Raw genomic sequence first — 11,552 nt, 5'->3', positions numbered from 1 at the left:
TTCTCCTGCCTCAGCCTCCAGAGTGGCTGGGATTACAGGTGTATGCCACCATGCCCAGCTAATTTTTTTTTTCATATTTTTAGTAGAGACGGGGTTTCACCATGTTGGCCAGGCTGGTCTTGAACTCCTGACCTTGTGATCCGCCAGCCTCAGCCTCCCAAAGTGCTGGGATTACAAGCGTGAACCACCGCACCCGGCATTTTTCCTATTATTTCTATCCTCTCTCTTTTCTCTCTCTCTCCTTTTTTTTTTTTTTTTAATTGAGACAGAGTTTTGCTCTTGTCCCCCAAGTTGAAGTGCTGTGGCGCGATCTCCACTCACTGCAACCTCCGCCTCCCAGGTTCAAGTGATTCTCCTGCCTCAGCCTCCTGAGTAGCTGGGATTATAGGTGCAAGCCACCAAGCCTGGCCAATTTTTTGTATTTTTAGTAGAGACGAGGTTTCACCATGTTGGCCAGGTTGGTCTCGAATTCCTGACCTCAGGTGAACTGCCTGCCTCGGCCTCCTAAAGTGCTGGGATTACAGGGGTGAGCCACCATGCCCAGCCTTTCTGTCTCTTTCTTCTCTTTCTCTGGAACTTGGAGATGGACTGCCCCTCCTGTCCCCCTTTTTCCTCTTTTTTGGCACCTCTTTACCTGCCAGTCCTTTGAATGCTGGAATTTCCTCAGCGTGGAGCCAGCACTTCTCCTGTCACTCATCACTTCTCTTCCACTCCTGCAACTTCACCTCTCTCCGGGATTTTGAGGCCCACCCAAACCACAGTGTCTTTCTCCACTGCTCTCCTGAGCTGTGGATCCTAACTTCCTTCTGCCTTCTCAGCCTGTCCACATGGGCATCCCACAGATACCTTCAATTTAACATCTCAAACCCAAATAACTTTCTTCCCACCCGCTCACCAACTCTTCCCCATATCCTGTGTCAGTAAAGGGCTTCACCTCCCAACCAGCCTCCCCAACACTACCAGGCCCTGCTTCTGCCCTCCGTGCCTCTGACCGGGCTGCTGCGCCTGCACCTGTTCCTGCCCTTCCACACCATGCAGTTGGCTTGATTCCTGTCCTTGTGCCTTGCAATCACTTCCCAGAGTGGGCCCTTTCTCTCCCACTGTATTCACTGTCTGCACATTTGTGGAAACTAGAGACAAGATGAGAAGGAGTGGGCAAAGGGAAAAGGTAGAAGGGAAGGGGAGGGGAGGGAACGGAAGGAGGAAGGGAGGGAGGGAAGAAGGGAAGGGGGAAGAAGGAAAGAAGGAAAGAAAAGACTCAAGGGATAGATACTTCCTGAAAGGGGAAAGGCTGCTGATAAGTCTTTGATCAATACACTTGTTTTTACATTGATGAAGTTGGGATAAATCATACTTAAGGACAACCTTAAAGAGGAAAAGAAATCAGCAAAGGATCACAGGCCTGCTGGGGGTTGTGTAAAACAGGAGAGGATGGGGCTCAGGGAGAGGAGGGCCAGGAGCGCGGGGATGAGTTCCAGCTCAGCGGTGTAAGGCTCCTAAGCACCAGCTGGGGGCACCCAGCTTCTCAGAGTCCTGCCTCACATCCCCATTGCACCCTGCAGCAGAAGCCGCAGAGACCCAGGGCCTTGCAGATCATAAGGATAGTTCTCGGCCTGGGAATACAGTAACACCTGGATTGGTTCTGGAGGTTGGGGGGTGGAGGGAGAGAGATTTATTGTAAGGCATGGGATGTCAGGGCTGAAATGTTTAGGGTAAGTCTGCACGCTGGACATCAGCAGGAGTCAGTGCTACAACCTTGAGGAGGTAACAACTCCCAAATCTCATGGCTTCTAACAACAATGGCTTGTTGCTTGCTCTCACGTTATATGTTGGTGGCTGCAGCTCTGCCCCTGTGACCTCTCATTCCAGGACTCAAGGTGAAGGAGGAGCCCCAGTCTGGAACTAGGTATCCCCGAGGCAGAGAGCAGGACAGCTGCAGGAAGCAACGCAATGGCGCTTGTGAAAGGAAAATAGAAACTCCGGACCCCAGTTCACTGTGCTGAAAGGGAAAAAAATTAAGCTGAAAGCTGCATCATGCAATCCACTGCCTTTCCTTTTGTTCCTAAGCAGGTAGCTACAGGTAAAAGGTTAGAAATCTCCACAGGTGGCCAGGCGCGGTGGCTCTCGCCTGTCCCTCAATTTGGGAGGCTGAGGCAGGTGAATCACGAGGTCAGGAGATGGAGACCATCCTGGCTAACATGGTGAAACCCCGTCTCTACGAAAAATACAAAAAATTAGCCAGGTGTGGTGGTGGCACACGCCTGTAGTCCCAGCTACTCAGGAGGCTGAGGTATGAGAATTGTTTGAACCTGGGAGGTGGAGGTTGCAGTGAGCTGAGATCGTTCTACTGTACTCCAGCCTGGTGACAGAGCAAGATTCCGTCTCAAAAAAAAAAAAAAAAAAAAAGAAAGAAAGAAAGAAAGGAATCTCCACAGGTAGCTACTGTGTTCACCTTATGTGAAGTCCTGATTACTGAGTGCCAGATGAATACATAATTACATAATTGACTGTCCCCTTCCTTGCTCCTTTTCTCTTGTAACATGTGAATTACTGTGCTGTCTTTTCCCTCCAGCCCACTTTCCCCTTTAAATATTGATACCTTCAAAATCATCTTTGGAGAAAGGCACTGACCTGTCTCTCAGGTGTGTCCTTAACTTTGGCAAAATAAGCTTCTCCATTGATTGAGACCTGTCTTGGATACTTTTTGGTGTACATGCTTAGAGCCTCTGCTCGGAGCTGGCCTGTGTCACCTCCACCATGTTTCATGGGCCATAATCACTCATGTGGCCAGGCCTGACAGGGCAGGAAAGGCACACTCTTTCCCCGGGAGGCACCACACATCTCATGGCTGGTGGGGATAAACAGTCTGCTTCTAGGAAGCGGGGCAGCGGATGACAGAAACCAGAATCTAATCCAATCGCCCACACCTGGTCAACTTTCTTTTCACAACTATAACTGGCCTTTTTAGCAGCATTATTTCATAAATGCAGCTGACAAGAAAGAAAGTCATTTTACACCGTGGAGTCCGTGGTAGAAGACCAGGCACTGGGATGAAAAGGTCAGCGCTGGGGTACAGGGCCCCCCTTTTCAGTTCATTCACGGTGCTCCTGCCGGGGTCAGGGGGTGGCCAAGCCCTCCTCAGGCCACTGGGATTCCCCTCACCTCAGGCTGCCCTCCCTCCCTGAGGTTATGGGTTCAGCCTGTCTGGGACCTTGGTGGTAGGGTTTTTTGGTGGTAGTCAGGCGTTTGCTTTTTTTCTCTAATAAACAAAGCAAGAGGTCAGTGGGATGAGCTGGCCACACTGTCTGAAGCAGGCGGAAGTGCTGTGGTTTCTGGCGACTGTAAACATCTGTGTGCAGGAGGTGGTGTGGGCAGATGTGCTGGCAGAGAGGAGGGCCACTCTGCAGAAGCCCCAGGCTCTGATATCTCTCTCTCCCTTGTTGTTTTGGCAAAAGAATCACATGGTTAAAATAGTAGAAGTTCAGATCAAAAATAGAACTAGATAGCCAGGGGCAGTGGCTCATGCCTGTAGTCCCAGCTACTCAGGAGCCTGAGGCAGGAGGATCATTTGAGCACAGGAGTTAAAGACCAGTCTGCACAACTTAGGGAGACCCTGTCTCTAAAAATAATAATAATAATAATAATAATAATAATAATAATAATAATAATAAAGATATAATCTGTGTACAGCACCCTTGACCCAACTAACTCCATCTTAGAAAAAGACTCCATTTTATATTTCACAGGGCACTTTGCCAACAAGGATAAGATATTTTGCTTAATAAGCAGAAAAAAAAAAAGATAAAGGCTGCATCCAACCAGATAAAGACACAAACAAGCACAACTCTTCCAACTGTCAGTTGTCACCAGAGAACTCTGTGACTCTAAAAGAGCAGGCCTGGCTGGGCACGGTGGCTCACACCTGTAATCTCAGCACTTTGGGAGGCTGAGGCGGATGAATCACGAGGTCAGGAGTTGGAGACCAGCCTGGCCAACATGGTGAAACCTCGCCTCTACTAAAAATACAAAAATTGGCCAGGCATGGTGGTGCATACCTGTAATCCCAGCTACTCAGGAAGCTGAGGCAGGACAATTGCTTGAACCTGAGGTTCCTTGTCTCATGGCCACAGAGATCAAGGATGCGGACACACAAAGAGTGAGGGGTTAAGAGTGGAAATTTAATCAGCAAAAGAAAGAGAATAGCTTTCTACTACAGAGAGGTGTCCTGAAAAAATGGGTTGCTGATCCATGGTGAAATGCAGGGGGGGTTATAGATGAGCTAGTGGGAAGGTGGTGTCTGATCTACATAGGGCATGAAAAACTGGTTGGGACCAAGTGTCCTACATCTGCCACCCACCTGCATAGGGTGTGAATCTCTGGCAGCCCCCACCCAGTCTTTTATTATGCAGGTGGGTTCCCTGCCTGAGCTGCGCCATGTTGCCCATTTCTTTCTTACTGTATACATGCTGACAAAAAACGGGAAGGTGGAGCTTCCACGGTGGACATGCTTGGCCCCCAGGTAGCCCTTTTCTATTGGTGCAGCTGCTGGCAATCCCCCATGCAAGCTTCCAGCTTTCTTATTTATGTTTGCAGCTTGATTTTTCAGGCTGCTCTTTGTTAGGGAAAAAAAATAATAATTTCTTGGGCTGCTTTTTGTTAGGAGAGGAGTTCTGCCAAGGACTCTTTTGCCCTATCTGCCTAAATAATTTCTATCTCCTGTGTCAACACCAGTGTCTTGACTGACACTTATCATGAGTGACAAGAACTCCACATCTGCACCCAAGGCCCTGCCGTCAAAAACTTTTTTTGTTTTTTGAGATGGAGTCTTGCACTGTTGCCCTGGCTGGAGTGCAATGGTGCGATTTCGGCTCACTGCAACCTCCGCCTCCCGGGTTCAAGCGATTTTCCTGCCTCAGCCTCCCAAGTAGCTGGGATTACAGGTGCCTGCCACCATACCCGGCTAATTTTTTGTATTTTTAGTAGAGACGGGGTTTCACTATGTTGGCCAGGCTGGTCTTGAACTCGTGACCTCGTGATCTACCCGCCTCGGCCTCCCAAAGTGCTGGGATTATAGGCATGAGCCACTGCGCCCTGCCAAAAACTGTTTCTTGCAAGACTGACTGATGGCCTGGCCCAGACCAGGACTCTTCACTCTACTTCGCTCCCCCTAGACTGGTTTGTTAACCTTTTCTCCTTTCTCTTTTTCCTCTTGATGTTAAATATGACTTTGTTTGTTGTGGCCTGTTTAACCTATAACATTTCTATATTAAGTATACTATTATGTATCGTTTGCAATATTGATGGACTTGTGGAATGGCTTGAGCCTGTGTGCCTGCGGCTCTGACTTCCAAGTGAACGGCAAGTACTGCCTCCTTGGGAACTCCCTGTAGCTCGTGGCTTTTGTGATGGAAACAGCATCAATAAAGGCCTGACATTATGGTGTGATCAGAAAATAAAAACTTGGGACCCCAATTCACTGTGCCAGAAGGAAAAAATTAAGCTGAAAGCTGAGTTATGCAGAAAGCTACAGAAAACAAACAAACAAACAAAAAGGTTAAATATCTGCACAAGGAGCTACTCTATGCTCACTTTATTTTTTATTTTTTTTTTTGAGATGGAGTTTTGCTCTTATTGCCCAGGCTGGAGTGCAATGGTACAATCTCGGCTCACTGCAACCTCCGCCTCCCGGATTCAAGTGATTCTCCTGCCTCAGTCTCCCACGTAGCTGGGATTACAGGCATGCACCACCACGCCCAGCTAATTTTGTATTTTTAGTAGAGACAAGTTTCTCCATGTTGGTCAGGCTGGTCTCGAACTCCTGACCTCAGGTGATCTGCCCACCTCGGCCTCCCAAAGTACTGGGATTGCAGGCGTGAGCCACTGTGCCCAGCTGCTCACCTTATCCTATGTAAAGTGCTGATTTGCTGAGTGCAAGATGAGTATATAATTGACTATTCTCCTACCTGCTCCTTTTCTCTTGCAACACGTAGACTCAGTAATGTGACCACACACTCCCCTTTCCCCTCCAGCCTGCTTTTCCCCTTTAAATAGGGAAACCCTCAAAATCATCTTTGGAGAAGGGCACATGAAACCACCTTTGCAAAAATTGTATCAGTGAGGAAAATTATAACAGTAAGCGAAGCTAACTGTTCAACCCCCATCTCGCCTTTCTCTGAATTTTTCCTGGGCTATTGGGCCACGATAACTTTGGAAGACATTTAGGCTATAGTTTAAATGATAATAGGCCTTGCCCCAAACTCAACTGCTTTTGTAAAGTTAATGGAAGGCCATCAGGTTCACTGGAGGGACCTGAGTCCTGCTAAGGCACAGACATAAAGGGATCAGCCATTATTCCGGAGGTTATAAGATGCAACTTCCCCAATTGCTCCTGCAAATAACACCACTATTGTAGATTGGCCTTTTGAGATATATTTCCAGTTTTTCTGTATGTCCGATGCCCATGGCTCCACCTGGACCGGATGGCTCCACCTGGACTGCCAACCCTGTTCCTGTGGCCCCACCCAGAAGAGATTCAGCCCACAGGAGAACTTCAACCCCTTATGATTTAATCCCCCCAACCAATCAGCAGCAAGTATCTGTTACTTGGCCACTCCCACCACTTCCCCTAAGCTGTCTTTGAAAAACCCCTAACCTGTGAGCTTAGGACAAGATGATTTGCATATGAACTCCCTCTCCCATGTGGTGAGGCTGGCCTCATGTCTATTAAACTCTTTCTCTACTACAATGCTGTGGTCTTTATGCAGCAGGCAGGAGGAACCCCTCGGGCAGTTACACACAGACCTGTCTCCCAGGTATGTCCTTAACCTTGGCAAAATACACTTCTAAGTTGAAGACCTGTCTTGGATACTTTTTGGTTTACAGTGGAAAGACACAAACATGCGTGGACCTGGTTATCGCTAACCTTACACCACTCATGACATAATCACAAAAGGCAAGATTTGAAAGAGACTCTGGAAACCAAGGTTTGCTGAAAAAACAGCTGACAAAAGGCAAATAGGAGAAAAGTCACACAAATTTATTTGGTCATAGTTTTATGTGACACAGGAAACTGCAAAATGAAGACCCAAGATACAGCAGAGTATGGAACCCCAAATATCTGAGGCAGATCTCAGTCGATTTATTTATTTATTGAGACATTCTCACTCTGTCGCCCAGGCTGGAGTGCAATGGCATGATCTCGGCTCACTGCAGCCTCCATCTCCTGAGTTCAAGAGATTCTCCTGCCTCAGCCTCCAGAGTAGCTAGAATTACAGGCGCCTGCCACGATGCCCGAATAATTTTTGAATTTTTAGTAGAGATGGGGTTTCACCATGTTGGTCAGACTGGTCTCGAACTCCTGAGGTCTCAGTCAATTTAGAACGTTTATTTTGCCAAGGTTAGGGAAGCACTCGTAACATAGCTTCAGGAGGTCCTGATGACATGTGCCCAAGGTGGTTGGGCACAGCTTGGTTCTAAGCATTTTAGGGAGACTTGAGACGTCAATCAATATATGTAAGATGTATTTAATACATTGGTTCAGTCTGGAAAGGCGGAACAACTCAGAGTTTTGTGTGTGGGGGGTGCTTCCAGATCATAGGTAGAAAAGACATAAACGGGTGCATTCTTTTGAGTATCTGATTAGCCTTTCACTGAATGCACAATTTACAGGAATATGCCTTAGTCTGGATTAGTGTGAAACAACAGGGCAAAGGAAGTCATCACATATGCATTTGTCCCATGTGAGCAGAGGGATGACTTTGAGTTCTGTCCTTTGTCCACAAGGAATTTCCTTGTGGGCAAATTGTGAAGGAGGTATGTAGCCTTTTTTTTTTAATTTTTATTTTTTTTATCTTTGTAGCTATCTTATTTAGGAATAGAATGAGAGGCAGGTTTGCCCAACGCTGTTCCAAACTTGACTTTTCCCTTTGGCTTAGTGATTTGGGGAAGATTTATCTTCCTTTCACAGGAGATTGTCCCTTTCTTTGCTTAGGTTCAACAAAGTATGGACAGCTGTATAGAAATATGATTGGACAAAAAGGGTGTGATGTAGTGCTAACAGCCCGAGTGGGGGAACCCAGCAAGGCCTGTTTGTGTAGATTCTTCTTGGCCTGTCTCTGCAGCAGTCCCTTTTTTTCTGGGTGTGGGGCAGGACTCTCTCCGGAATGGGGATCTTATGACCCACAGTCAAACAAGGTAGGTTAATTTCTTTATGACCAGTTTTTACACAGAAAGGGGGTGGGATTAGAGCAATATTTTGGGGTTTTATGGCTGGCTGTGGGGAAAAGGGGCTCTGATTCCTATGGCTCGCCTTGGGGAAAGGTTCTAGTTTCTATGGCTAGCCTGTGGGGGAACAAGGGGCCAGAGACAAAAGGGCAGAAGGTCATAGAAAAACTTATTTCTGGAGCTGCTTCTGAGACTTTCATCTTGGAGTATGGTATTGTGGGCCCCAACACACCTGTAGATGAAAAGAGTCAAACTCTGTAAAATATTTGAAGAGATTTATTCTGAGCCAAATATGAGTGACCATGGCCCAGGACACAGCCCTCAGGAAGCCCTGAGAACATATGTCCAAGGCGGTCGGGATGCAGCTTGGTTTTATACATTTCAGGGAGACATGAGACTTCAATCAAATACATTTAAGAAATACATTAGTTTGGTTCAGAAAGGTGGAAGTGGGGGCTTCCGGGCTATCGATAGATTTTAAAATTTTCTGGTTGACAATCGGTTTTTATCTAAAAATCCATCAGGATCAATAGAAAGGAAATGTCTGGGTTAAGATAAAGGATGGTAGAGACCAAATTCTTACTTGCAGAAGAAGCCTCCAGGTAGCAGGCTTCAGAAAGAATAGGTTGTAAATGCTTCTTATTAGACTTAAAGGTCTGTGTTGCTGTTAATATTGGAGAGGTATAATGAGGCATGTCCGATCCCTACTTCCCATCATGGCCTGACCCATCTCTCATGTTAAATTTTAAGAGCGATTTAGAATCCTTTGGGTATATACCCAGTATAGGGATGGCTGGGTCAAATGGTATTTCTGGTTCTAGATCCTTGAGGAATTGCCACACTATCTTCCACAATGGTTGAACTGATTTACACTCCCACCAACACGTATGTTTATTGCAGCACTATTTACAATAGCAAAGACTTGGAACCAATCTGAATGCCCATCAATGATAGACTGGATAAACAAAATGTGGCACATATACACCATCGAATACTATGCAGCCATAAAAAATGAATGAGTTCATGTCCTTTGCAGAGACATTGATGAAGCTGGAAACCATCATTCTCAGCAAACTAACACAGGAACAGAAAACCAAACACTGCATGTTCTCGCTCCTAAGCAGGAGTTGAACAATGAGAACACATGGACACAGGGAGGGGAATATCACACACCAGGGCCCGTCAGGGGGTCGGGGGCAAGGGAAGGGAGAGGGAGGGCATTAGGACAAATAGCTAATGTATGCGGGGCTTAAAACCTAGATGATGGACTGATAGGTGCAGCAAAGCAACATGGCACATGTATACCTATGTAACAACCCTGCACATTCTGTAAATATATCCCAGAACTTAAAGGAAAAAAAAGAAAAAGGCCGGGTGCAGTGGCTCACGCCTGTAATCCCAGCACTTTGGGAGGCTGAGATGGACAGATCACGAGTTCAAGAGATCGAGACCATCCTGCTAACACAGTGAAACCACATCTCTACTAAAAAAAAAAAAAAAAAAAATTAGCCGGGCATGGTGGCACGTGCCTGTAGTCCCAGCTACTTGGGAGGTTGAGGCAGGAGAATCACTTGAACCTGGGAGGCGGAGGTTGCAGTCAGCCGAGATCATGCCGCTGCACTCCAGCCTGGGCGACAGAGCAAGACTCCATCTCAGCAAAAAAAAAAAAAAAAGAAAAATTTAAGAGCGCCCTGGCCAAGGAGAAAGTCCATTCAGAGGGTTGGCGGGGTGGGGGGTGGGGGGCGCTTAGAATTTTATTTTTGGTTTATACACTTCATAAAAAGAAAACCTATGTATGTTAAGTGTGCAGTCCAAAGTCACTTAGGGAAAGCTGCATACACTGCATTCTGCCATCCCCAGTGCTCAGCACCCAGTGAGTATTGGGTAATGGGATAGATTCATCCATGAATCCTCGAGCTCCTGTACATTCCACTCCAGGGTTTCCAGCTGATAGGGCTCAGGCAGGGAAGCCTCCACAGCAGTGTAAAGGTCTTCAAGATCTGGGATTCCTTTTGTTCACTAGTCAGTGGGGAGGGACACCTTGAAGCCTCTCCTGGTTTGTATCTCCAGCTTTTCAAGGTAATGTCAGCCTAAAAGCTTCTTTAGATGTCCTGTGAACAATGTAAGATCCACAAGCGAGCCAAACAGAACACGTAACTGTTGGGCCCACAGATCTGACATTTCTTCTGGAAACGAGACTCCTGAGACTTTATTTTTTTGAGACAGGGTCTCGCTCTATCAAGCAGATGACTGCAGAGGCATGATCACGGCTCACTGCAGCCTCAAGGGATCCTCCTGCCTCAACCTCCCCAGTAGCTGGGACTACAGGTGTGCACCACCTTGCCCGGGTAATGTTTATATTTTTAGTAGAGATGAGATTTTGCCATGTTGGCCAGGCTGGTCTTTAACTCCTGAACTCAAGTGATCCTCCCACCTCAGCCTCCTAAAATGCTGGGATTACTGGTGTGAGCCACTGCACCCAGCTCGGTGCTGTAAACTTGGTCTGAGTTAAACTTCAGACTCTGGGATTCCACTTCAGAAGGAGGATACTTATAGATGTGAATGGAATTTGTAAAATGCCAAATTAGGCTGGGCACTGTGGCTCACGACTGTTAATCCCAGCACTATGGGAGGCCGAGGCAGGCAGATCACGAGGTCGAGTTCAAGACCAACCTAGCCAACATGGTGAAACCCTGTCTCTACTAAAAATACAAAAATTAGCTGGGCCTGGTGGTGCACACCTGTAATCCCAGCTACTCGGAAGGCTGAAGCAGGAGAATCGCTTGAACCCGGGAGGCGGAGGTTGCAGTGAGCTGAGATCGTGCCATTGCACTCCACCCTGGGCGACAGAGCGAGACTCCGTCTCAAAATATATATATATGCCAAATCAAATAGAATTCAACAGGTTGTGTTATCAGGGGCAAAGCCCACCTTTATTGAGCCCTCACTAATCTGTCATGGACTGTTCTGAATGTTAAAATTAAAAGAGTTCGTGTATTTAGAACAAACACTATGTGGTAGGTACTATGATGAAAACACTGGAGCACAGACAGAGTCAGTAACTTATCCCAGATCACACAGAAAGAAAGCAGCAGGAGCTGAGATTCAAGCCCAGGCAACTCACACTCTTGGCCCATAGCACACATTGCTACATAGTCTGTAGCAATGATCACTATTCACTGAGCATTTACTTTGCCTAGGACATGGAGCTAGTGTCTTAGAGCTACCTAATTTTATGTTGTCCTCAGCACAGTCCCTTCAGGTGAGAGGTATTATTCTCACTTATGCAGAGACTGAACAACTTACCCAGGGTCCTGGTGTGTCCGGAA

General features: G+C 46.9%; 4 annotated features.

Moving 5' to 3' along the window:
- Positions 1,431 to 1,931: an enhancer, noted in NCBI's record as "H3K27ac hESC enhancer chr15:89547127-89547627 (GRCh37/hg19 assembly coordinates)". NCBI's record gives its function as "activates a minimal SCP1, AML or CMV promoter by ChIP-STARR-seq in naive H9 embryonic stem cells {active_cell/tissue: H9 hESC(naive)}" and the evidence as "EXISTENCE:reporter gene assay evidence [ECO:0000049][PMID:30033119]".
- Positions 2,735 to 3,029: a silencer, noted in NCBI's record as "tiled region #4646; K562 Repressive DNase matched - State 5:Enh". NCBI's record gives its function as "represses a minimal TATA promoter and a strong SV40 promoter by Sharpr-MPRA in K562 cells {active_cell/tissue: K562}" and the evidence as "EXISTENCE:reporter gene assay evidence [ECO:0000049][PMID:27701403]".
- Positions 3,047 to 3,658: an enhancer, noted in NCBI's record as "H3K27ac-H3K4me1 hESC enhancer chr15:89545400-89546011 (GRCh37/hg19 assembly coordinates)". NCBI's record gives its function as "activates a minimal SCP1, AML or CMV promoter by ChIP-STARR-seq in primed H9 embryonic stem cells {active_cell/tissue: H9 hESC(primed)}" and the evidence as "EXISTENCE:reporter gene assay evidence [ECO:0000049][PMID:30033119]".
- Positions 6,163 to 6,966: an enhancer, noted in NCBI's record as "OCT4-NANOG-H3K27ac hESC enhancer chr15:89542092-89542895 (GRCh37/hg19 assembly coordinates)". NCBI's record gives its function as "activates a minimal SCP1, AML or CMV promoter by ChIP-STARR-seq in naive H9 embryonic stem cells {active_cell/tissue: H9 hESC(naive)}" and the evidence as "EXISTENCE:reporter gene assay evidence [ECO:0000049][PMID:30033119]".

This window comes from Homo sapiens, chromosome 15, assembly GCF_000001405.40.
Source record: "Homo sapiens chromosome 15, GRCh38.p14 Primary Assembly".
NCBI lineage: Eukaryota > Metazoa > Chordata > Mammalia > Primates > Hominidae > Homo > Homo sapiens.
Note: the sequence above shows the minus strand (reverse complement) of the source record. Positions and strands in the feature narration are given on the sequence as shown.